The sequence below is a fragment of the Homo sapiens genome, chromosome 8 (assembly GCF_000001405.40).
Source record: "Homo sapiens chromosome 8, GRCh38.p14 Primary Assembly".
NCBI classification, from domain to species: Eukaryota; Metazoa; Chordata; class Mammalia; order Primates; family Hominidae; genus Homo; species Homo sapiens.
In genome coordinates this window covers 25,404,182-25,430,753 of record NC_000008.11, presented here as the reverse complement: position 1 = coordinate 25,430,753, position 26,572 = coordinate 25,404,182, and the positions used below count along the sequence as shown (strand labels likewise).

Below are 26,572 nucleotides of genomic sequence, written 5' to 3'. Positions count from 1 at the left end.
GGCACCAGGGACTGGTTTTGTGGAAGAAAATATTTTCACAGATCAGAGTCGGGGGCTGGTTTTGGGATGATTCAAGCGCGTTACATTTATTGTGCACTTTATTTCTACTAGTATTACATTGTAATACATAATGAAATAATTATATAACTCACCATAATGTAGAATCAGTGGGAGCCCTGAGTTTGTTTTCTTGCAACTAGACAGTCCCATCTGGGGGTGTTGGAGACAGTGACAGATCATCAGGCATTAGATTCTCATGAGGAGTACCCCACCTAGATCCCTCACATGTGCAGTTCACAATAGGGTTCACGCTCCTGTGCGAATCTAATGCCCCTGCTGATCTGACAGGAGGTGGAGCTCAGGCTGTAACTTGAGCCATACAGGGACTGGCTGTAAATACAGATGAAGCTTCATCTACTGGTGACCTCCTGCTGTGTGGCCTGATTCTTAACAGGCCATGGACCAGTATCAGTCTGTGGCCCAGGGGTTGGGGACCCCTGTTTTCAATGTCTCCTTATAAAATATGCAAGAACAAGGGACATGCTTCCTCTTTAACCTTTGTTTATACATATTTATGGTGATCAGCCTGAACTAGAGGTAACAAATAAAGATAGAAGAACATCTTAATTTAGGGTGGTGTATCATCAGTTTTCCGGAAATTAACTGAGTTTTATTGTATAAGAACATTTTCCTAATCTGCCCCAGAAATCATTTTGAGCAGAAATAGATAAGGCCTGAAATTTCCACATGAATTACATGAATATTGTTTTCATCTTGCAGAATTGTGATCTGTCTGGGTGTGATCTTCAAGAAGCCAACCTGAGAGGGTCCAACGTGAAGGGAGCTATATTTGAAGAGATGCTGACACCACTACACATGTCACAAAGTGTCAGATGAGAATTTTAGGGGCTGGAGGAAGATGTAAAAGATGAAAATGTTTTCCTTATCACTTTTCTTTCTCCACCCACTCAGTTGTCTAGAAGAAATAACACTGTAAGGAAATTTAAAAAAAAAACATTTAGAGGATTATGCTTGTTTTGAGTGGTGCATAAGGGAAAAAACTGACTTTTTTTCCATATTCTGATTTTTAACAGAAAAGCACTCATTTAATAGATGTAGGGAAACTAGATATTGCTGCCTTTTGAATGGGGTAGGGGGGTTTACCTGGTTTTATGACCAGGCATAGTATCTATTATATTTGCTTTTAAATAGGCATGATGTGGAAATACCATCTTGGTTTGAGATGCATTTGAGGATTTTAATTTATGGAAAGCACAACATATGCAATTATATTTATTGAATTCCTAGATGCAGTATGGATATTTAAATTGTTAAAACTTTATGAAAACTTGGAAAAGGTTGTTCAGGTTTATAAATAGCTTTAGTGATGCCTCCCCTCTTTAAATACCTGTCACACCGTATGAATATGGTGAGATCAGACTCCCTAAGACTCTTTTCAGGTTCATTTTTATAATGTTTACTTTTTAGGACAGAACAGTAGCTAAATTAAAGTAATATCCAGTTCTTACTGATTGAGACAGAGTGGAAAGAAAGACATCATTGTACATCACTGTCATTCCAAAGGTACAGTGTAACTCTGGATGGAGGAATAACTTACCTATCACTACAACACTTACAAATGAGAATTTCTCAGAATTTCATTCTAGGCAAGTTCCACTCAACACCAGATCAAGCAATTCTATCTATTTACACTATTAGCCTAGTTTTCTCATACAGTCATCACAAGCATAGGAAGATACTTCAAAACCAAAAAAACCAAGGTGCATCATTAATATTCATTTAATTCAAATACCAAATAGTTTACATAGGGCCAGCTTAGAAATAGATACTAAATCCAGAGCTACTGCAATCAAAGCTTATATGAGTGAATATGGTAGAGTTGCCTGCTAAAAGGCAATGTAATATAATTGCAGCTAGAACCCTACAGTGGGGAATGAGGAATTTTAAACACACATTTGATTACAGCCACCAAAAAAATAGACGTAAAAATAAAGGCATTTGGCTGGTCCAAGATGTAATTATCAATCAGTCAGCACCTGTGATTCTTTTACTTATTTTTTTGTGGTTTTTTTTTTTTAAACAAATTTTAGCCCAATTTTCTTGAGTCATTCTCTCTCTGCAGCAGCAGAGGAAGGGCCTGTACCTCCCTACCAATGACTTGGTGTCCTTATTTTCTACCCCAAGAGCAGGGATATTAGCTGTGTCCAAATGGGTTCTGAATTCTACAGACTCATCAACATGAGGCAAGGAATCATTGAAAACCACCTGTGTCTCCTTTGGGAGAATGACATATCTTTAGTATTTACGTAGCTTATTCTTCTATATCTACATATGCAAAGCTTTCCTTAACAGTAAAGGGTACATATGCATAGTGGGAGGAGATCAGACCTTTACAAGTGAAGGAAAGCAACTTCAGAAATGAATTATTTTCTTTGCTTTATTATTTTTACCAAGACAGAGAAGTATTGTATTGAGAGATAATCTATTTTCATAATCAATATGTGCCTAAATTATATTTAAATCATTTCACTCTGTACTATATTTTCAGGAATTACAGAATGTGGTATTCATTCACTTAAAGGTACCTCTGTAGAAATAACCTAAAACTGCAGAAGGATCTGAAAGATCTAAACATGGTGTGCTTAGAAACTGCAGATTTTAGATCTAATGTATACTGCATTAATAAATGATATAAAGTGTTTGTTGAAAAGGAGTTTCTTCTCTTCCTTTTGAAAATCATCACTTTCTGTATTTTGCTTACATTTCTTCAATATGTGTTGACAACCAGCCCTGTGGTTCTGGGTAGCAAAGGAAATACAGTATAACTTAATTTGTTATGGATTAGTCTTTTTGAAAGTACCATTAAAGTAAATTTATTTCTTTAAACATGATTATTTTTATCATTCTTTTAAAAATACACCATGCTAACAACACAAACCTTATGAATTCTGAACAAAAGAAAAGACTGCCTCCCCAATAATTCGTTTAATTTGTTTGTGTTAAATTCATCACTCTTTAGGTGATGAATATTACCAGTTAGCTTTATTAGACTGGATAAATAGCATGCCCCAAAACATTTTTTGCCTGATAACTAGGATAGAGAATTTTAAGGAGGGAAGAAACCGTTAAAATAGTAAAACTTCCATTAACCCTAGAGATGAAACATGTCTGTACACATAGGTAAAAATACAGCTGTTGGGATGACAGGAAAAAGGTTTTAAATCAAAATTAAACTAGCTGGATTATCTGCATTAATAAAATTTGGTACTCAACTAAGCAATACTATCTATTGTAGTCTAGTTCTTTCAACTATAGTCTCAAGGAAATTCTGGTAGAAAATGTTGTAAATTAATTATTCTTATGAAGGGTTCAATCATAAATCAAGACTTGGAATATTTTCTCCATTTCATTTTATGACTCTTATGTGTACTGTAAATCTGCCCTATGTCAACTTTAAATCATCTTTAATATATGGAAAAAACTTAGAATTGCACTAAGTAAGTCCCCAAGGAAGAATTACCTTTAAAATTAAAAGGTTCATTACTACAAAGAAAAGTGGTTACATTATTTCAGTATAAAGCACCTTATCCAAGGATTAATTCTCTGAAACCCTTTTACAACCTGATTAGACATGTCAGCAGGAGTTAACCTTAAGTGCTTCCTGCTGAGATTTTACATTAGGGCAAGAAAAGATTTTTTTCATCTGTCATTTCAGTGATATTATGAGATCATCGCTGTAATAATTTTGAGGTGTTTTGATGTTGATGAAGCAGTTTTTTCTCTAAAGCCATTCTTTCAAATTTAGAAAAAAATATGACAAATATAAAATCCAATTATTTAAACCCAATTTATTATATTTAACTTTTTGATAAACTGACCTAACCATGGAATCCTTAAATGGTTTTAAGTTTGTCATTCAATATCAAAAACTCATTAATTGCATAGTGGCTTGATAACCTATTTGGTGCTATAGAAAGTAAGACAAAACAAAGTTGACTCTTGCCTTGAGATCTGTGTGACCTAAGACAATGCTAATGGAGACTTTAAGGACAACAGCATATTGGATGAATTCATAGACCATATTTGTGATGGTTAATACTGAATATCAATTTGATTGGATCAAAGCATGCAAAGTATTGATCCTGGGTGTGTCTATAAAGGTGTCGCCAAAGGAGATTAACATTTGAGTCAGTGGGCTGGGGAAGGCAGACCCACCCTTAATCTGGGTGGGCACCATCTAATCAGCTGCCAGCAAATATAAAGCAGGCAGAAAAACGTGAAAAGTCTAGATGGGCCTAACCTCCCAGCCTACATCCTTCTCCTGTGCTGGATGCTTCCTGCCCTCGAACATTGGACTCAAAGTTCTTCAGCTTTGGGACTCAGACTGGCTTTCCTTGCTCCTCAGCTTGCGGACGGCCTACTGTGGGACCTTGGGATCGTGTGAGTTAATACTTAATAAACTCTCCTATGTGCGTGTGTTTGTGTGTGTGTGTGTGTGTGTATGTATTCTGTCCCTCTAGAGAATGCTGAGTAATACAATATTGCTGTGTTCATCTTAATAATTTCAAAACATTTTTCAAAAATTTAATCCCAACTGTTAGAAATAACCTACAAGAAATCCAGTGAGGCCTACCTACCCAGAGATAAGTGATTCACCTGACAATATGCATCACAAGTCTTAACTCTCATTTCATTAGTCCTATCCAGAGACCACATTTTCTACTTAAGCAATACTTAGAGGCACATCTCTCAGCAAACACAAACCAATTGGACAATTTAAACTAGCACTATTCAACCATAATGAACTCTGGTTGAAAAACAGTCTGTCCCTACTTGCATATTGTAGTGAGATGAGATTCCACTCTTCATGTCAGAATGGCACTTACATGAGTCAAAGTGTCTAAATGAAATAATTTAAATGGAACAAAGTCAAATACTTACATTTTATTTTTAAATTCTCCTCTATTTGCAGTTATACTTTAAAGTGTACTCCCTTCTCTATCCTATCATGAGGACTGGACAGCCTCCACAGAGATGGCTGGACAAAGCAAGGGAATTTACTTAGGTAAGACACCATTTCTCTTTACTCTGAAATCCCTGCAAATGTAGTTATTCCAGAGGAGACTGTGCAATGACTGATGGGTTTAGCATCCTACATGAGGGGAAATTGCCATTCCCAGCTGTAAAATGAACAAATATCCAGTTATTTTTTTTAGCCATCTTACAGCTTAGCTAATATAACAGGATTTACAGCCAATTATACATGAAAGTTTAATTCTGTGTCAGATAAAGCATATCTTTGATGCAGAAATAGAGGCAGCATTAGGCCTTACCTGGTTAAAAGCTTTTTGCTTTCTATTCATTCATTCGTTCATTCATTCATTCAAACCTATACTTACTGAATGCTCACTAAATGCCGGGGGTTTATTAAGAGAGATTTAAATAAGATGGGATCTTTGACTATTACAGGTTTCAGCCTAGGGGTAAATTAGGGGAAGACAACCATGTATTCAAATAAATGTAATTAAGAGTAATGGTTGTGTGTGTATTTTACATGCTTGTCCTGTGTAAATAACACGTCCACGGTTGCACCTCTGGGGTGGAACATCTATAAAATTTAGATAATGATACCCACTTTGCATGGCTATTGTAATGAATGCTCTTATACATTTGCTATTTATTAAATAACTATAATTTCTCATCTTTCTGTTCCCACTGCCCTTAAGAGTGATTTGCATATTTAACTCAATAAGCATCTACTGAAATGAGTTGATCTGTTGATGTAAGTCTGCTCAATATGGTCTTGCTCTCAGAATATGTTTCTTGCCTTTTTGATGCTTTAGAAGGCTTTCAAGGTAAGTCAAGCAGGGAACCTGGTGGGTAGATGAGGGAATTTTCAAACACACAACTGTCTGATTTAGGATCCTACATGGACTTGGTATATAGTGTCACTTACTTGTAAATCAGATTTTTAAAATTGGAAGCAACTCTGTGATCATCTAGTCCATCTAGTCTACACCCTTCCTTTTACAAATGAAGAATCCAAGAGCCAGAAGCTCCCAGACATCCTGACTCAATGTCCTATATTTGTTGTATAGCCTCCTTTGTGGAAGTTATGTATGCATTTGACTTCACTTAATCTAAGACATCTATTTTCCTTGAACTCTTGATAGGTCTGCTGGTTTCCTCAAGGGAATCCAATCTAGCTGGATTTTAATCTCTTTGAATTGTGTCCTCAGCTATAAAAGTTTTAGCTGAGGTTTTAATGGCTGCACTTAAGTAAATCTAACAGATATACCAGGGGGTGTTCCAATTACATACACCATTAAAGGGCTTTATGTGAGGATTTTTAAAAATTACCATTAAAAAAAAAAAAGCATAGTCCATTTGCAGTATAATTTACCAGCAGGAAAGATTTCAATGTCCTGGAAAAATTCCCTATAAAAAGGAAGATAGGAAAACAGAAAAGTCACAGTACTCAACCTACTTCAAGGGAAGATTGGGATCTTTTTGGCTCTCTGCCTCTAAACAGGTAAAAGGCTTTGTATTATTTCTAGCACGAGTTTTTCTTCTTTAGATTGCATGCTATTGTATGTCTACAGGGCATTTGACAGCCCAAGGGCTAAATCCAGGTGTGACGGTATCTAATGATGTCCTGTCCTTCACTGTCCTTGCCATCACCAGCCACAGAGATCCAGGCTTTGGGGACTCCCACAGCTTATCGACCAGTGTTTGATTTAGTTTTTAGCCTCTTTCCCATCAAATGAAAATTAACTTGGAGACACATTTCATTAGAAAATTAGAGGCCCCCTTGGCTAGGAAGGCATCTGGTCTGGGACTAACTACTTTGAACAGTGTTGAGTCCTCTCTCCCACAGATGGTTCAGCCAGCAGTAATGCTAGGAAGACTGAAGGATAAATAGAAAAATGTCATTAGTACCATGGGGTAGCCATGTAATGTCAAGCAATTTTATATTAGCCAGAGATTCCTAGTAGGAGCTACTTTTCTTAACAGATGACTCAGTTCTCTTTATCTCAGGAATGAAAGAGTTGAAGACCAATCCACAACAGGGGAAATGTTAAGGCAAAATGATGAACTTGATAAGGGATGAATTATGGGGTTTGGATAACCAAACAATAAAAATAAAAGTATAGACTATTTTAGTACTAAAAAGGTCCTGAACATGTGAGCTTAAGTACTCATTTTGTCCCCAGTGGCTAAGAAACTAAAGGCAAGCCAGCAAGTGTCTCTGAGTTTCAGTGTCTGTATGTAAAAACTGACTCTGACTTCCATCTTCTGCAGGGTTAGTGATACAGATGCTAGCTTTTTCACTAAAGAGGTCTTTTAGTTTATACTCAACCTTGTCTGGATCTAATTTGATTGTGCATTCATGTGCCTTAGAATGAAGCCAATTCAAAAACTCCTAGCTGGCCTTATTCTACTGACTTGGTGCGTGGAAGGCTGCTCCAGCCAGCACTGGTCCTATGGACTGCGCCCTGGAGGAAAGAGAGATGCCGAAAATTTGATTGATTCTTTCCAAGAGGTAAGTTTCTCTCAGCTTCAAAATAAGACATAGTGATTTTATTCAATTTAACTATATTAAACATTCAGGATAGCCCCAATGTCAATATTCTATGATGTTGTACCCTAGATGCTCCAGGTGAGATAAGGCACTTACAAAGTAGAAGTCCCATTCCTACTTTCAGTTCACACAGGGACTAAACAAAGAGCTGGAAAAATTCCAAAAGAATATATTAATAGCAACAAGTGTGAGACAGCACGTCATACTCTGAGTGTATGGGATTGCTAAAGGAATTAGAAACAATGGGATAGGGTCAAGGTCTGTATCAGAAGATGATTCTTTGGGATTTGGAAAAAACGTTAGAACTTCGTTTTTTTTTTCCTCATTTCATCTTTTAAACATATCTATGCTATTAGATCAGTACATTTTTATAATTTATAAATGAGTATCCTTATCAAGGATGCATGCCCTATAATTTCTTTTCACTGATAGGGGCATTTAAGCAAAGTTGGAGACTGGTAGAATACAGGAATTAGCAAACTCAAGATGATAAGATAACGTAGTAGAAAACATGCTGATTTAAATTCATATAGATTAGATTATAGGACTGGCACCAACACTAACGTGAGGTACTTGCTTTCTTGTTTTTTGGGGTTATTTTCTAAGACAGGGTCTCGCTGTGTTATCTAGGCTGGAATTTAGTGGCACGATCACAGCTCACTGCAGCCTTGACTTCTTGGGCTCAAGTGATCCTCCCACCTCAGCCGTCTGCATAGCTGGGACCACAGGCATGCACTATCACACCCAACTAATTTTTAAAACTTTTTATAGAGATGGGGTTTCCCTATGTTGCCCAGGCTGGTCTCAAACTCCTGGGCTCAAGGGATCCTCCCACCTTGGCCTCCCAAAGTGCCGGGAGGATTTTTGTTTATAAAATATGACCACTCATCAGGGTCATGTAAGGAAAGAAGCCATCTATGTTAGCTGATTAACCTGAAAAATAACCTAGGACTGAGAATGGGAAAAATTTTAAATCATTTCATTATCATTGGAAGGAATTATCTCTTTTCTGAGAAATAATAAAGATAATTTAGTATTAAAGAAGACCCAGAATCTGAAGCCTCTTCTCTGCAGGTTATACATGAAGCAAATCTCATTGAACTATAACATATTTAGTAAAACCTAGAAAATAAAAACCAACCTTTTTTTACAACTATAAACTCTTGGGGGTTTTTTGCTTTTTGTTTTTTTGGGTATACTGACTCTCATGAGGCTCAAAGTGCCTCCCTCTTTTCATCTTTAAGGGGAAAATATGATATCTTCTTACTGTCTCCATTATCTCCAGATCCCCATGCCATTCAGTAGAAATGTCAGATGGCAGATCTGTGTCCTTAAAGTCCCTATGCTAATCCTGCAACTTTCCCAATCTCCCCCAGCCCCACATCCCCCTTGACCCCACTCTCCACAATTTTTTGGTGGAAATGGAAAACACCATTTCATTTCTTTATCTCCATCTCAAAGCATCACATTCTCTTTCTTCAGATAGTCAAAGAGGTTGGTCAACTGGCAGAAACCCAACGCTTCGAATGCACCACGCACCAGCCACGTTCTCCCCTCCGAGACCTGAAAGGAGCTCTGGTAAGTTAAAGTGATCATAACATGATCACAGCATAGAGCTCTAGAGGTGGATAAGCCTTTGGGGATCACTTAGGACAGCTACCTCCCAGATACTGTGGGGCTTACATTCCTGACTCCTCTGTTACCTCCTGTGGTAGGACCGTGTTTCATGACAATCCCAGTTGGTGGTTAGACAGCACTAGGGGCTGAAACGTTTTTTTGTTTGTTTGTTTTTTCTGAAGTTGAATTGAAATCTCTCTGTAACTTTTATCTCTTAATCCTGGTTCTAGCTTTTGGGATAACTAACAAAACAAATTTCTTCCCACTGCTGCATTTCATTTCTTCAAGTAAAATCACCAAACCCCCTAGACTACTCCACTCCAGGCTACTCCACAGCCCTCCACCTGATCCTGCAACTGTGCTTTATCTTACATGGTTTTCCAGAACCTTGGGGAATAGAGACATGAGAAACACTGCTGTAGATGGGTTTTTTTTTCTCTTCTTTGGAATGAAAAATGCCAAACTACTAAATTTATAATTTAGAGAGTGATGGACTTGATTTCCAGTTTCCTGATAGGACAATAATCACCTCCAAATTCCGCCCCCCAAAATGGAAATACACTAATCATATTAGGTTTTTGATGAAAAAGTATAAAGAGAATTGAATGTATAAATTGAATCTTTTAAAAAAATTATTTGTTGAGACAGGATCTTGCTCTGTTCCCCGGGCTAGAGTGCAATGGTGCAATCAATGCTCACCACAGCCTCAACCTCCCAGGCTCAAGCAATTCTGGAGACTAGATTAGCCTCTCTAGTAGCTGGGACTATAAGCACTTGCCACCACACCCAGCTGATTTTATTTTTTAATTTTTTGTAGAGACAGGGTCTATGTTGCCCAGGCTGGTCTCAAACTCCCAGCCTCAAGATCCTCCCAAAGTGCTGGGATTAAAGGTGCAAGCCACTGTGCCTGACTTAAGTTGAATCTTGGATTCAATGTTGATATTCTCTGATCTCTATTGTCCACTTATCTGCAGCAATCAGAAGGCATTACAGTTAATGATCAGTTATGCCTAGGAGCTGGGAAAGCCCAAATAAATCATATATAAAAATAAGCTGTAATTTTAATTGTCTACAGTGACTTCAACTTAATATACCCACAGAACAAAGAAAAAAGTGGGCAGACGTCGTTATTTCCTTTTTCGTTTTTTTTGGAGTGCAGTGGCGCAATCTCGGCTCAATGCAACCTCCATCTCCTGGGTTCAAGCGATTCTCCTGACTCAGCCTCCCGAGTAGCTGAGATTACAGGCATGAGCCACCACACTGGACTAATTTTTGTATTTTTAGTAGAGATGGGGTTTCACCATGTTGGCCAGGATGGTCTCAATCCCTTAACCTTGTGATCCGCCCACCTCGGCCTCCCAAAGTGCTGGGATTACAGGCATGAGCCACCACGCCCAGCCTATTTCCTTTCTTTTTCTAATCTTGCTTACTGCATTACAAAAATGGCAAGCAGTGAAATTTGTCAAACATGACATTATGAAGAAATTGAAGCAAAGGCTGGTTTAATAGCAAAGTAATTGACCAGACTTTTTTTTCACTTCCTTCCTCACAACTCATCCTTAAACTATTAATGTAGATTTTATGTATATTAAGTGCTTAAAAAGACCCAATCGGCCAGGCACAGTGGCTCATGCCTGTAATCCTAGCATTTTGGGAAGCCGAGGTAAGTGGATCACTTGAGGCCAGGAGTTCAAGACCAGCCTGGCCAACATGGTGACACCCTGTCTCTACTAAAACTATAAAAATTAGCCAGATGCGGTGATGCATGCCTGCAATCCCAACTACTAGAGAGGCTGAGGCACGAGAATCATTTGAACCTGGAAGGTGGAGGTTGCCATGAGCTGAGATCATACTACTGCACTCCAGCCTGGGTGACAGAGTGAGGTTCTGTCTCAAAAAAAAAAAAAACCAGAAAAACAAACCCAATTTATCATGTCTCCCTAGCACTAACTAGAGCACAAAATCAAACAGACCAATTCCTTCCAGACTGATATTTTAGAAATTAAAATGTCAAAATGTAATGAAATTCAGCTGGTAAAGTCAGTCTTGATATATTTGTTATATATTTTTCAGGAAAGTCTGATTGAAGAGGAAACTGGGCAGAAGAAGATTTAAATCCATTGGGCCAGAAGGAATGACCATTACTAACATGACTTAAGTATAATTCTGACATTGAAAATTTATAACCCATTAAATACCTGTAAATGGTATGAATTTCAGAAATCCTTACACCAAGTTGCACATATTCCATAATAAAGTGCTGTGTTGTGAATGAAGTGGCATACCTGTTAAATCTTTCTCCAACTCAGAACTCCGGGGGAAGGATCACTGTAAACCCACCAAAGGGAGCCCTCCATGTGTGTATACAGGTGGCAGATGGGAGGGCAGGTAAGATAAAGTGTCTGTTGTTGACAAAAGGGATCTCAGGCTCTCCAGCACCCATACCCTGCATCTACCCACAAGCAGAACAGCCACATACTGGTCCAGCCAGAAAAAGCTGATTCAGCTCCAGTTTCTCTGGGATTATAACTTTATCTTCGACCATACTCTTCAGAAGTTGAGGTGGGGCCACGGCCAAGGCTTTCTTCCACTTGGAAAGAAGTTCCCTCCCTTGATCGTCTCCAAACCCTTTGAAAGTTTACTGGAACCCAAATGAGGCCTGGGGGTAAGGAGAGGGGGCCTCCAAGGACTCCTAGTCCAGCGCTCCTTCTGGTCCCACGCAATCTATCCAAGTGGTGCACACTGAGGGTTGGGACTGAGACCTAAAAAATAATAGAGTGTTCATCTGCTTGATCTGTTTGGTTTGCATTTAAGAAACACAATGGAGTACAGACAGACCGTTGGAGATGGGACTCTATTGTTCCTATGTCCCCTGGTCAGATAGCATTGCCACCATTCTTTCTCCAAAAAGACCAGGGGCAGGCTTTGTGCTACATATGTGCACAGATATTTTTACTAACCATCATAAGAACCTTGGATTGTAGTTAGTATTGCCTTTGCTTTAAAATGAGGAAACGGGCTCAGAGAGTTTAAGAGACCCAGCCATGTTTGGTTCCATGTTCACTATTCTAGTATTGCCCTATGATGAGCAGCTAACAGAACTGGACTTTGGAGGCTGGGTTATTTTGTCCATTGGAGCTGAAACAGGAAACTAGGGTTCATAGGTCAATGTAGATTTAGCAATGACTAATCCTCCATAAGGCCCCAGACACTATGACATTGATGTTCTCATTTAGCCACATAACTTCCAAGTGGCTATGAGACCATTGGAAAAAAAAAAACAAATTTCAGATAACTTGCCCAATGTCTCAGTAACAAACTGACCTGTCAAAGATCTAAGCCCTTTTTCCTCTTTTAATCAAATGAACTCGCCTCCCTACCCCCTACCCTGCTCCCTCAAAAAAGGAAAGACTTATGCTAAGAAATTTGAACAGGGGTGAGAAACATCCCGTGGGGGAAAACCGCCTCTTTTTAATACAAATATTTGCTACTGCACAATGACAGGTTTCCCAAATACCTCCATTGGAAGAGTCTCTAAAGTGGAATCAAATAATGTCTTCACTCCGTCTTTAATAAAATTAGGCAATGATGTGATCCACAACCTGCTTTATGAAACAAAAGCAAAACTGCATTATTTCATTAATCAATACATGTGAGCAAGATGAGAGGCTTCCATTAGCCAATTACCCGGTGACTTTTTTTTTAATGAAAACAGTATACAATCTTCACATTACTTAACACATTAACAAAAAGCAACACACCCACTTAACTTACACATCCTGTGTGAAGCATCAGATTTCCTTAGCCAAAGTTTGTCTTTGGGACAATTTCTTGAGGGCCAGCTGCAGGCCTCCCTTGAATGGGATAAAAAGATGCTCATCCAACTGCCTGATGCTGATGTTAGAGGCTTTCAGGAGGTACCCTTGATGCTCCAATGGCCCAAATAACTAACGGGAAGGAGGAGAGTGAAAATGGCCACTTTGGAGCTGAGCATGGTGGCTCACACCAGTAGTTCCAGCTACTTAGGAGGCTGAGGCATAAGGATTGCTTGAGCCCAGTTTGAGGCTGCAGTGAGCCATGATTGCAACACTGACTTTAGCCTGGACAACAGAGTGAGACCCCATTTTGAAAATGAAAATGGCCTCCTTATAAAAATCATAAACACTGAATCTGAAGAGTCTAACTCATCAATGTAGCTTTAAGAAAAAAAAAATCCTAAGCCTTTCATAATAAAGGGTAGGGAAACATATCAAATGATACATTTAATGAGATGAGTTCTCAAATACATATGGCTTTAAATGATCAAGTAGTAAAAAAAATGGTTCAAAAATAGATCATTTTAGCAAAACTTTTAGAAGTTGCAGTAGCTTACAGATGACTGGAAAAAAGCCAAGAATCACTGCATAAGATAATAGCACTTGGATTTTGACAGAGGAAGACACTTTATAGTATTTCTCTATGGGGATCCTAGAGCCAAAAGATTACCCAGATCTGTCAAGTTAGTATTTACGGCCCAAACGCTGTGGTGTTTTCAAGAAGCGTGACTCTTACAAATCATATGAACACAGTGAAGCATTATTGCTTCTAAAAAGCAAAGCACTGGAACACTTTTTTTTTTTTTTGAGATAGGGTTTCTCTTTGTCACCCAGGCTGGAGTGCAGTGGCATAATTATAGCTCACTGCAGCCTTGACCTCCTGGGCTCAAGTGATTCTCCCACCTCAGCCTCCCAAGTAGCTGGGACTACAGGCACGCACCACCATGCCTAGCTAATTTTTTTTTATTTTTTGTAGAGATGGGGCCTCTGTCGCTCCTGCTGGAGTGCAGTAAGATGATCATGGGTAACTGCAGGCTTGACTTCCAGGGCTCAAACGATCCTCCTACCTCAGCCTCCCAAGTAGCTGGGACTATAGACACGCATCACTGTGCCTGGCTAATTTCTTTAAATTTTTTGTGGAAACAGAGTCTTACTCTGTCACTCAGGCTGGAGTGCAGTTGCATGATCAGGGCTTACTGTTGCCTCTACCTCCTGGGCTTAGGCAGTCCTCCTGCCTTGGCCTCCCAAAGTGCTGAGATTATAGGCTTGAGCCACAGCTCCTGGACAGAACACTTTCTTGGGGGAAAAAAAATCGTAAGCATAAGCTCAGGACTAAACAGTGGTGCTAATACAGGTGTGACTGCCCCTTCCCTCTCTCCAACTTGACCCACCACCAGCAGGGATTTTATGAAACACATCTTAAATACCAATTTTCTAAAGTCTCATTTCCTTTATGTGGTGGTTTTCCAACCTTGGTCTAGCATTGGAATAACTTGGGAGGGACTTTAAAGAAATATGGATGCCTGGGATCTTACTCCCCACCCTCAGAAATTCTGATGTAATTGGTCTGGGAATGGCCTCTCCCCAGGTGATACAAACATTCAACCATTTTAGAACCAGTTCCTATCCTTTTCATGTAAGTTATTAGATATCCCCTTTAACCTTTTTATTTCTCTCTTTACCTGTCTAAATATCTATGGGGAATGGGTAAAGAAACAGAACCTATGTACATTAAATGAATTGCTATCAGAAAACTGTCAGCCTAGATAGAAAAAAAAATAGATAGGGTGAAAGGAAGCAAGTGGTTTGTAATTTTTCTTATTTCTGGGCAAAGATGACTCCAGGACCCCACAGTGCAGGTTTAACCTAACAGGACCTGTAAGGAAACAAGCCAGAAAAATGCTAGGTGTGATGTGTCATGAAGGAGGCATGGATAAGGAAAAACTGCCAAGTTCAGGAATGATTTCATCAACTTAAGGGCAATAACAAACTAAACACACAATAAACTTTAAAATACATTTCCATTTTTAATTTAAAAAATAAATAACAGCAAATCTGAACAAAATTTTCCTACTTCAATGCACATCTTCCTAACTGTCCATGTTTGAAATCCAGATAGCAACAAAATCATGGCAAAGGCATTTTTGACAAAGTTTAGACAAACGACTCACAAAATATGGCTAATAGTAGATGAGTTTGGACATCTGATACTGCAGACCAGCCTTGGCTAGATCCTAGGCGTCAGAGTGAAATCATGAATTTCCTTTTGTAGATTAGAATTGATGGTCCAACTCTCAACCCACCAAAGAGAAACTTACCTTTTCCAATTTAATTGTAAAAGCCAGATATATCACTGAATGAAGGTATCTAAGGAAGTGATATTTATCAACTTCCCAAATGATACAGAGAAGGAAAGCATAATTATTAAAATGAACCTAAAGTCTAGATACAGTGGGCCAGGCTGGTGAAGCCTTAGACTACTATGGAAATGACATTGTTTATAAGATGTTGCACAAATTATGGTAATCTGTGTCAATATTTCAATGTGTGCTGGATTATTACTGACATATTCATAATTTTAATGTCCACAAATCTTTTTATCTTAATAGCCAGGGTATGGCAGGGTCAAAGCACCACCTGGGATGATAAATGGGACAAGTATAGTCCATGGACCTCAAAGCCTTTGTACAGAAAACTAGTTTCCTTCAGATCCTCCCCCTCTTTTTGTTTAAATAAAAAGCAGAATAAAAGCAGCTAGGGCTGAAGGAATTCTAAACCTCAGGTAGCTTCAAAATTAAAAAAAAAAAAAGACAGGCCCAGGGACTGACTACAAATTGACTTGTTAAAAGGTGCACAGTCTTTATAGCCTTGTTTTGTGTTGATGGTGGGGTTTTTCTCCCCCTTTCATTATACCTGAGAAGTATGAGAAAGGAAGCCACAAATTTGAAGGGCCTTATAAATACCTTTCACAAAATGGCACCATGGGCATGTGGGAACTTTCTGGGGTGCTGAAAACAGTGTATGTCTCTATCTTAGAGGCACGGATGTGGGCAAATAGCTATGTGAAAATTACCCATCTGCACGGCTAAGATTTGTGCACTTAACTATACATGAGTTCCATCTAAATTTTAAAATAAATTAGCCAGTGACCTAGGGGCAACTAGAGGAGAAGGACTCTTCCAGCTTGGAAAGAGTAAACAAAGGTAGGTTGTTGTCTCAAAGCCTGCTTTATATCTTGTTCTACATTAGGAAATTGCAGTGTGGCTGCAGTTTTTAATGGATTTCCTTGGCAGAAGAAAATGACTGCAATTCTGGAATCAGAGGGTTAAGGTGGAGGAGGAGGAAGCAACTCATGGCCCAGCAGTCTTCTTTAGGGTTTCATTTTCATCTGGTACCACTCCCTTTCCAATCCTACAGCACACCAGAGTGAACTGTCTTTGTATACTGGGGCTGTTTCCATTGAACACACTCAACCACTACATCCCAAGGGGCTAGTACCATGACTGGCATTCCATAAGAACTTGATATATGTTGAATAAAACAATCCTTTAAAAAAAATCTTAAAGCAAGACAAGTCACTAGAACAAAGAAAGAGAGGAAATAAAGATTTAAAAACACCTCCAACCGTATACCAGTATTCACAAAAGTTGTGACAATTTTAGGGATAATTTCAATGTCTTTCAATACTCCAGAGAGTTCTTAGCAAGAAAAATAAAGACCAATTCTTTCTCTTTTTTCCTCCTTGCTCCTTATCTCTTTATATTTAATGGAATCATGAGGTGTTTCTTTGCAGTCATCCTCTGACTTCAGGACACATTATTTATGAATTCTGTCAAATGTGACTCTTCCTACCCAACACCTTCCCTAAAAAATGAACCTTCCATCGTCCGCTGTAATCTCTTAGCCACAATACTACCTGGAATCCCTTTTGTTCAGGCAGGAGAGAGCTATTATTTCCATTAAGGTGGAAAGGGAATCATACGGAATATATTCTATTAAAAAGAGAAGGTATCCAGACAGTGATGTATCCTATCTTCCCAGCCTCTGCTCAAAGACCAGGCTGTGGGACTCATTTCTACTGCTCTGGAAGGATAGCCTTGAGGTTTGGTTTTTTTGGTGACCCAGTTTTATATCTTTCTATTTTAATGGCAGCCCGGCAAGTAGAGTGTGGCACACAAATCCCCTCTAGCCGGTCTGCTGGGTGACTTCTCAGAAGTCGTGCCAGGCTCTAGGTAAGCCCCTACATATCCTGTCTGTTGCCTCCTCCTTTCTCTACAGCTTGAGTTCTCTCCATTTAAAATCCTCTTGAGTTCTTATTAAGTTTGTCTCTAGTCATAAATAATCATGTAAAAGACCTCAAAGGAAACCACCATTTGGAGAAGGGCTGTATGTGCAGAACTAACTTGCACTCACATTCCAAACTACCTTGGAAGAAAAAAAAAGTATGAGTAATGCTCTTAGAGAGTTCCAGTTCCTACTCAGGCCTAGCAGAGGAAAGCAGGGACCATCAGGTGAGTACCTCTTCTTTCCCATATTTCATCTCATTGAAACCTCACAACAACCGATGCAGGAGGCATTATCCCCATTCTGGAAGGTGAGAAAATGAAAACTCAGATAATTTCAAATAATTTTTGTGAGTTTGCAAAGTTAACAGATGTCATAACTGGGATTTGAAACCAAATGGGTTTAATTCCACCAAATGGGTTTAATTCCAAAGCCCATGATTCTTCCATGCTAGCACAATGCAGGTTTTCCTGGGTGGGGGTAAAGGATCACCTTTTCCACACCCCTTCCAGAATCTGCATACTCATTTCTTAAGTAACGCCCTGGACACATCTGAGAGCTTTTGCTTCCCTGACCCTCATGATGAACTGGTGTAGTTCTCTCCTGAAAGGGTGGCGGTGAAACAGGAAACACAGAGAATCAGGCAGGCAAATACCAGCTCTGGCAGCAGAAATGGAAATCTCTTTCTCTGTTCTCTTCACCTCCTTAGTGGAAAGGACTCTGGGCAAGGTTGTGGGAGAGACCACCAGCAAGTTTCCCCCAGTGCTGACCTCTGCCTTCACAGTCAAAAAGCTTTCTGCTTTGCCACAAATATCTAAGTAGCATAGAAATATCTGGGACATTTCAAATATTGTTCCAACCAGGGGTAAATATTAAAGAGTCTGTCAGAGTTGTCTTCTAGAGATTACCTAGGTATAGCCTAATTTAGCAAGCTGGGTTATTAGTAATAATCTGTAGCACAATTTTCTGTGTGTAGCCTCAATTTCCTTATTTACTAAATAAGGGGACTGGTTGGTTGATCTTTGAGGCTTCAAGTCCAAACGTCTAAAACTTCATGTGGCTATTTATGTATGTAATATTTGGTCACCTAAATCGCTCCATTTTTTCTTCTGAAAGGAGTACTACTAGTACCATTAGCAAGCAATCAAATTAATTCCACAATCAAGAGGAATAAATAATCAAAGAGAAATATTGCACTGTATTCTCCAGGATAAAATCAGGTAGCAGATGCGGCTGCTGAGTCACCCAAATGGGTTTTAGAAAAGAAACTGCTGAATCCAGACTGGTAAGTCCCTTGTAGCCAGTGATTTGCGCTCAGAGGAGGTAATAGGACAAAAAAAAAAAAAAAAAAAAAAAGCCGTATGTGCAAAAGGAAGAGCTTCAAAGAAGTCCGTAGGGAAGGAGTGACTGCGACGCAGTGAAGGCCATTAGTCAGGAGTGTGGTGGGAGAGGGAGAGGGCAGCTTTCCTGTGCCACAAGAAGATGGGAGTTGGGTGGACTCAAGAACTCAGGGCTGATGTTTGAGTCCATGCTCTTTCAATGATAGACACACATACCTGAAAGCAGCCAATCTCCATTAAAAATGTGTGTTCTTTTCCTCAAAGGAGATACAATAGACATCAGAAAGATATGATTATTTCAGCTACCAAAGTGTACTTGATATCCATCTCTTCCAAGATGCAATATGGGATGGGATCAGTGTGTCCACGTGAGAAAAGTACCTAAGTCTCAAGCACAGCTTTTCATAAGCAAAGCAAAAAATCCTTCCAAGGAGTAGATTACAGGGGTTGCTCCACCATCAATATGGAAGAACTTGTCCAGGCTTGTGCAGACCACCATGTCTCTGCCGTACAGGCTGACATTTAACAATGGTGAAGGCAATCTCTTCTTGGAAAAAATCAGAGGCTGTGACTGATTCTGGAATTCCATGTGGACTGGAAGGGAGGTGGCATGGCCTCAAAATTCTATCAAAGAGAAGCTTTTGGAAGAACATGACTGGTTTTGGGCTGGTAAACATCATCCCAGATCAGGAAATGCAGTCAGCAGGGAGCCCCATGGAATGAGGACACCGGCTGGAGGCCAGTTCTCAGGCAGCAGCTGTCTAAGGCACTCGGTGTTGCAGGGAGGGCAAGATCCTTACTGGGATCCAGGCTCGGAAGTAGGGATGCCAGACTTCCGAGCCTTTGGAGGTGGAGGGGGTGGTGCTTTGGCTTCTCTTCGGACAGGCAGTGGGGGAGCGAGCTGCAGAAGCAGAAACACAAAATTAGAAGCAGGTCTTAGCTTTCTTCCCAATTCTGCCTTCTCCTCCTATTTCTCATATTCTGCTTTAGCTTCTAATTGATCTGAGTTTATCTACACAGGCTTTGCAAAGTGAAATGGAAAACTACACTGACTTATCCTCCTTGTTTCCCATGAGCTAATCAGACACACGCGTGCGTGCGTGCGTGCGTGCGCGCGCGCGCACACACACACACACACACACACACACACACACATTTTCTCTCTCTCTCTCGCTGCCATATCCCCAACACTTGGGTTCCTGGCGTATAGACAGGAGGCACTTAAAAGTCATTTGTTAAATGACTGAAGGAAACCCATCTGAGGTCACTCCAGAATGACTGTCCTTTATTCAGAAGAAGTAAACTCTTCAAATGTGAAATAGAGGGCTGGGGGCAGGCAGTGGCTCACATCTGTAATCTCAGCACTTTGGAAGGCTGAGGTGGGTGGGGGGGATCACTTGAGGCCAGGAGTTTGAGATCAGCCTGGGCAATATGGAGAGACCCCATTTCAACAAAAGATTAAAAAATTAGCTGGGCATGGTGGCACATGCCTGTAGTCCCAGCTAATTGAGAGGCCAAGGTAGGAGAATCACTTGAGCCCAGGAGTTTGAGGCTGCAGTGAGCTATGATCGCACTATTGCACTCCAGCCTGGGTGACAGAGCCAGACCCTGCCCCCGCCCCCCTAAAAAGGTGAACTAGAACTCACGGCTTATTTCACAGGTACCCAGGACGAGGTACAGAGAACACCTGCCTCTACCTTCATCATCTGCTTGCATGTCTGTCCTTCCCATTGAAAACTTCTCTATCTCCTGTGGTTTCAGGAATGAGCCAAGAATCGACTGCAGTGACAGGTCTATGAGCAAACCTGCCCACTAAAGAGCCTGGAAAACCTGATGCTGCCTTCCCAGGAGTGGCGCTCCCTGGCCACAGTTGCCAGCTGTGATTTCCCTACCTCAGTGGAGTTCCTCTGGCTGCCTTCATAGGGCTTGCTTTTGGGGGGAGGTGGAGGTGGGACAGGAGTGGCCGCGATTCCATCTGTCTGCAACGATGGGGAGCCTAGAAATGACAGAAAGTGCAGGCGGCAGAGAGAGGCACTGAGCAAGGAAGCTCATGGAAATGTTGCTGGCACTGTAACACCTAAGCCAACCTGGTCAACCAACTGATGAAAGCCACATTCTATGGTTTCTGCGGATAGAACGAAGAAGACTTCTTACCCCACATCACACAGGTGACGCCCTCGCCAGAAGTTTCAAGAGCTCCACAAGGTGTTCTGAAGCAAAAACTTTATTTTTTTTATTTTTGTTTTTTTGAGATGGAGTCTCGCTCTGTTGCCCAGGCTGGAGTGCAGTGGCGCGATCTCAGCTCACTGCAAGCTCCGCCTCCCGGGTTCACGCCATTCTCCTGCCTCAGCCTCCCAGGTAGCTGGGACTACAGGCACCCACCATCACGCCCAGCTAATTTTTTGTATTTTTTAGTACAGATGGGGTTTCACTGTAGCCAGGATGATCTCGATCTCCTGACCTCGTGATTCACCTGCCTCGGCCTCCCAAAGTGCTGGGATTACAGGCGTGAGCTACCGTGCCTGGCCAAAACTTTTTTTGTTCAGGGTTTTAGTATTAAGCTGAAGATGACAACATTTTCTGGAATGTATGGTATTATTCTGTTCTCTGATATAGCCCAAGTGCTTAGGAAAATATCCACTTCCTCCAGGAAACTGTAACTGATTATCTCTAACTCTTGGTTGACAATTGTCTCCCATCTGGCTCGATAGATTTATCCCTCTACCATGCCTCTGGACTATGGGTACTTTGCAATTCTTCTCAAGTGTTGTGCACTGCTGGTTCCCCAAGCCAGACTATAAGCAGTAGATGGAATGGGTCTATTTCTTGTCCCTGTTCAGGTCTACCTAACTAATGGTTAGCTTGTAAGTTACTTGTTATCTGTCTAGTCCTAGTGCAGATCTGCCTCATTTATACCTTCACAATTATAAAACTGACACTAATGCCCTTTGGATCACTATCCAGAAAAGTTTAATGAGTCCTAGTGGCCTCCTTGCCAAACTCCAGTCTAACTGTATAATACACGAACACGAAATTGAACCAGTTTTACAATGGTCTTACATACATTCTGGCTGGTTTAGTTACAAACTGCCCAGATGCATAAACATACTCCATTCCCTAGTAAAAAGACTATAAGGAATACAGGAAAACTTACTTAGGGTCCTGGTGGCTTTGGGAGTGAGTGGAGGTGGGCTCAAGGGTGTTGACTGAGGAGGTGAAGAACCGTGAAATGGTGATAGCCGATTATCCATCAACTGGAGACTCTTTGGCCTTTGTGCTTTTCTGGTTGGGCTCTAGGACCAGAGAGAAAAAGCAAAACATTTTCACGGTGAGGAAGGCTGAGCTCAACAATGCTCTCAACAGCCTTGTCTTCTGAGAAGACACTTGGAAAAGGACTTAACTGAAGGAGCGATTTTTAAGCATTGTCATATGATGGGCAACACCGAACAGGCACTGACTAGAACCACTGAACCACAGATTATTTTCTGAATGGCCACAGACTTGATTCTTCTGATCACAGTTGGGCTGTGTCATTTATGTTGGAAATAAGCCACCCTGATTCTCAGGAAAAGGTGGTCTTGCCACATTTAACAACTTGATATGGAAGGAAAAGTACCTTTTAAAAAAATTAAAGAAGAGAAATGACAATGTTTGGATTGACTCAGGGGACAGAGTGGCAAGAACGACAGCTCTAAGCATCAACCCACATGTTTACATTGTGGGTACAAGATCTTCACCAATGTTGATTTATAGACTCGAACTTCTCATGAGGTATGTGCTTTCCTTACCACAATCTGCGACCTGACACTAACCCAGGCTGCTGAGTCCTGAAACAAGCCATAGCCCAGCTTCAATCTGGGAGGGGATGGTGATATGCCTGGGTACAGGGGAGAGGGGGGCAAGCCTCCAGAGATTTCTTTTTTTCTTTTCTGTTTTTTACCATCAAATCGGGTTCTGGTGCTTTCTCTGCAATGACCTGGGACTTGCTCAGACTCCAGTCTTTTCTCTTAAACTTGCTGATCCGGTTCTCGCTGTTCTCCTCTCTAAGGGACAGATCTTCAACTCTGGCACCTGACGAGGCCCTGCGCTCCAAAAGTGGCTCCAAGATTGAGCTATTGGCCAGGAACAAGGACAAACATCACAAATACTGATCACCTTGCAATCAAAATTCACTATGAAAGTACCAGCAGTTATGACTCTTTAGGCTATTTTTTTTTTTTTTTTTTTTTTGAGACAGGGTCTTTCTCCCATCATTCAGGCTGGAGTGCAGTGGTGCGATCACATCTCACTATAACCTTGACTTCTGAGTGGCTGGGACTACAGGTGTGTACCACCATGCCCAGCTAAAGTTTGTATTGTTTTAGTAGGGATGGGGTTTCACCATGTTGCCCAGGCTGGTCTCAAACTGTTGCCCAGGCTGTCTCAAACTCCTGGGCTCAAGTGATGCTCCTACCTCAGCCCTCCCAAAGTGCTAAGGCTAGAGGCGTGAGCCACCATGCCCGGCCTCCTCAACCTACTCTTGACCTATGACTTCACTCTCAGATTCTAAATCTAAATTTTCAATTACAACTGAACAAACATCTCAAGGTGTTAATGTACAGAAACAAGACCATCAGACGACTGGACGAAAATATTAGGGAGTATCTTATCCCAGGAAGTGAAGGGCTTAATTCAATGTACAGGCAAAGACAGAATCTTTAAAGTAAGAGATTCAATAGACAGTTTTATGTAGTGGGTAAGAGCACAACTCTGGAGCCAGATAGCCTGTGTTCAAATCCTACCCACAAACTACATACTACTAGAATGTAGTAATCTAGATTACTATATACTACTAGAATGTAATCTAGATTCTAGAAGTAATCTAGAATCTAGATTACTACATTCTAGAAATAATCCCACCACTTCTAAGAATGCATCCTAATAAGAAAGCTACATGTCCAAATATGTTTGCTATAGTTTTTAATAAAAATATATTTTATACTGATACAAGTTACATACATATTTTTGTATTAAAATCTATAATGAAGTTTTATGGTTAATTGTTTAGAAAGAAGGATACAGCTTAAATATTCTATAGTAGAAGAATAATTAATCATGGCATATTTGTATGATGCAATGTCAACTGCCATCAAAAATGATGGTAAAAGCTGATAGTAATAAAGATTACACAGCCAGGCACGGTGGCTCACGCCTGTAATCCCAGCACTTTGAGAGGCCGAGGTGGGCGGATCATGAGGTCAGGAGTTAGAGACCAGCCTGGCCAATACGGTGAAACCTCGTCTCTACTAAGAATATAAAACTTCACCAGGCGTGGTGGTGGGCGCCTGTAGTCCCAGCTACTCAAGAGGCTAAGGCAGGAGAATAGCTTGAACCCAGGAGGCAGAGGTTGCAGCGAGCCGAGATTGCACCACTGCACTCCAGCCTGGGCGACACAACGAGACTCTGTCTCAAAAAAAAATACATAAATAAAAATTACACAGCAACATGACAAATGCTTATAATAAAAAGGTAAGAAAGAACAGCAAAGTACCAAACTATATGCTATAATTGGAGCTATGTAAATATACCTATATCAACGGAAAAGAATGCATAATTTAAGAAACACTACATATTTGATTTCCAGGCAGGGTGGCATTCAGGTAGGTTATTTTTATGATGTAATTATTGTATTATGGAATTAAACATTTGTGAAAAAATGGTGAGTCAACTGATAACTTATATTCAAGACTATTTTAAATACTTAATGATGCATAAATGCTCATCACCTATATTAAATTAAGCAGTAGGTCACAACATGATAGATGCAATGCTTTTCCACTTGTATAAAAAATAAACAGGGCCAGGTGTGGTGGCTCACGCCTGTAATCCCAGCACTTTGGGAAGCTGAGGCGGGCGAATCACGAGGTCAGGAGATCGACACCATCCTGGCTAACATGGTGAAACCCCATCTCTACTAAAAGTACAAAAAATTAGTCGGGCATGGTGGCGGGCGCCTGTAGTCTCAGCTACTCGGGAGACTGAGGCAGGAGAATGGCGTGAACCCGGGAGGCGGAGCTTGCGGTGAGCCGAGATCGCACCACTGCACTCCAGCCTGGGTGACAGAGCCAGACTCCATCTCAAAGAAATAAAAATAAAAAATAAAAAATAAACATACTTTTTTGATATTATATACCTGAGCTTTAACGGTGGTTATCTTTGAGTGATGAAGTAATAAAGCATTGTTTTCTTTTAAACCTTTCCTGTATTTTAGCAATATATTATTTAAATATATTGCTAGGCAGAAAGAACACAACTATAACTCCTTTCAAATATTTTAAATTTGAACATATGGAAAGGCATTTTATGTTTCTGGCAAGGAAGCCTCAGCATCAAAAAGCCATCACTCTTCCTAAAGTTAGTCCATACATTTAACATGATCCTAATAAAAATAGCAATAGGATTCTAGACAAGTTAATCTAACAGTGAGCAATAGCGACACTAGCCAGATTAAATTCTGAAAAGGAATATTAGGAAATAAAAAATGTTTTATATCTATAATAATTAAGATTGCATAGTACTGATACATGAATAGACAGGTAAATCTAAGAAATAGAAAAAAAATGTCCACAGACTAAAGAGTATGTGGAAATTTGATTTTTTATAAGATTGACATTTCAAAAAAAACAAAAAGATGACTTGTTCACTAAATGTTATAAGAAGAATTGAGTAGCCATTTGGAAATAAAAATGTTGGCTCCATACTTAACATCTTATATTAGAATAAATTCTAAAGGATTACAGACAAAATTGTAAATAGTGAAACCCTAAAAGTCAATGAAAAAAAAAAAGTACCTTTTTTGTTATCTTAGAGTGGGAAAGGCCTTTAATTGTGAAATAAAACCCAGAAGTCATAAAATAAAAGATTGATTATATAACTACATAAAAAAATCAGCACAACTCAATAAAAAATTAGAAGCAACAAATTAGAAGTCAAAAGATAAAGGAGAAATTAGGAGAAAACATTTCAACTCATTTCACAGACAAAGGGCCAACAATTCAACAGAAAAAAGTATTTGACCACAGGTCACAGAAAATAAAACTACAAACAAATGAAAAGATGTTCAACTTCAGGCAAAACAAGAAAAATAAACAAAAACCAAAAAACAAACAAAAAGTATACAAGAAAATATTTTCCACCTATCAGATTGGTAAAATTTAAAAAGACTAAGAGTACAGTTTGGTGGCTAGGGTGAGTAACTAGGCACTCCTGTGTGTTGCTGGTGGGAGTGTAAACTGGTATAATCTTTATGGAAGTCGGTTTAGGAATAATTTTCAAAATTGCAAATATACATCTTTGACAGAGCAATTTCACATACGAGATTTTTCCCATATTGATATAGTTGTATATGTACAAAATAACATGTGTTTAAGGTTATTCATTGTCACACTGAAGTAACAGTAATAGAGTGAAAGCAACTGAATAACCACCAGTAAGCACTGGTAGAATATACAGGTTGAATATCCCCAATCCCAAAATCCAAAATCCAAAATGCTCCAAAATGTGAAATATTTGAATGCTGACATGACGCTCAAAGGAAATGCTTACTGGAACATTTCAGATTTGGGGTTTTTGGATTAGGGATGCTGAACAGGTATAACGCAAATATCCAAAAATACTAAAACATCCGAAATTCAAAACACTTCGGGCCCCAAGCATTTTGGATGAGGGATACTCAATCTGTATCATGCCACATACATACAATGAGCCATATCTATAGCTACAGAAAGCATAAAGAGGGGGCTTTTTATGTTCTGAAATGGAAAGAGTTTCAAGATATAATATTAAATGAAAAAAAGCAAAGTAAAGAAAATTCTACCATTCATATAAAAAAAGTGTGGGGAAGAACACATAATTACGCAATGCTTGTGAACCTA

The 26,572-nt window shown here is 39.8% G+C and overlaps 3 protein-coding genes across 8 annotated transcripts in view, besides 1 other annotated feature; 2 read left to right on the top strand and 1 right to left on the bottom strand.

Moving 5' to 3' along the window:
- Window positions 1-2,907, top strand: part of KCTD9 (potassium channel tetramerization domain containing 9) — a 30,587-nt gene extending 27,680 nt beyond the window's left edge. For all 5 annotated transcript variants that reach the window (XM_047421912.1, XM_047421913.1, NM_017634.4 and 2 more), the window contains one exon: window positions 781-2,907. In XM_047421912.1, coding sequence (XP_047277868.1) covers window positions 781-897 — 117 coding nt within the window. In that variant the 3' untranslated portion in view covers window positions 898-2,907. The remainder of the gene's footprint in view (window positions 1-780) is intronic.
- GNRH1 (gonadotropin releasing hormone 1) lies at window positions 5,714-11,496 on the top strand. Of its 2 annotated transcripts, NM_001083111.2 has the most exons (4): window positions 6,493-6,553; window positions 7,423-7,564; window positions 9,086-9,181; window positions 11,294-11,496. In NM_001083111.2, exons 2-4 carry the CDS (start codon window positions 7,424-7,426, stop codon window positions 11,333-11,335), a joined length of 279 nt encoding a protein of 92 aa, NP_001076580.1. In that variant the 5' UTR covers window positions 6,493-6,553; window position 7,423; the 3' UTR covers window positions 11,336-11,496. The 2 variants fall into 2 exon arrangements, with proteins under 2 accessions (NP_000816.4, NP_001076580.1); NM_000825.3 differs by having other exon boundaries at window positions 5,714-7,564.
- Window positions 12,267-12,561: an enhancer, noted in NCBI's record as "tiled region #10380; HepG2 Activating DNase matched - State 5:Enh, and K562 Activating DNase unmatched - State 15:Elon". NCBI's record gives its function as "activates a minimal TATA promoter and a strong SV40 promoter by Sharpr-MPRA in HepG2 and K562 cells {active_cell/tissue: HepG2 | K562}" and the evidence as "EXISTENCE:reporter gene assay evidence [ECO:0000049][PMID:27701403]".
- DOCK5 (dedicator of cytokinesis 5) overlaps window positions 15,043-26,572 on the bottom strand; it is a 231,023-nt gene continuing 219,493 nt past the window's right edge. The window contains exons 49-52 of the mRNA NM_024940.8: window positions 22,600-22,771; window positions 21,814-21,952; window positions 20,552-20,655; window positions 15,043-19,560 (exon numbers count right to left, since the gene is read on the bottom strand). Of these exons, the coding sequence (NP_079216.4) occupies window positions 19,456-19,560; window positions 20,552-20,655; window positions 21,814-21,952; window positions 22,600-22,771 (520 nt within the window). The 3' untranslated portion in view covers window positions 15,043-19,455. The remainder of the gene's footprint in view (window positions 19,561-20,551; window positions 20,656-21,813; window positions 21,953-22,599; window positions 22,772-26,572) is intronic.

Bases quoted from the DNA above. Each gene is read 5' to 3' on its own strand.
- GNRH1 (NM_000825.3), top strand. From the start codon at position 7,412: ATGTGCCTTAGAATGAAGCCAATTCAAAAACTCCTAGCTGGCCTTATT. The intron at 7,565-9,085 runs GTAAGTTTCTCT...CTCTTTCTTCAG, and splicing joins TGATTGATTCTTTCCAAGAG to ATAGTCAAAGAGGTTGGTCA. The intron at 9,182-11,293 runs GTAAGTTAAAGT...TATATTTTTCAG, and splicing joins GAGACCTGAAAGGAGCTCTG to GAAAGTCTGATTGAAGAGGA.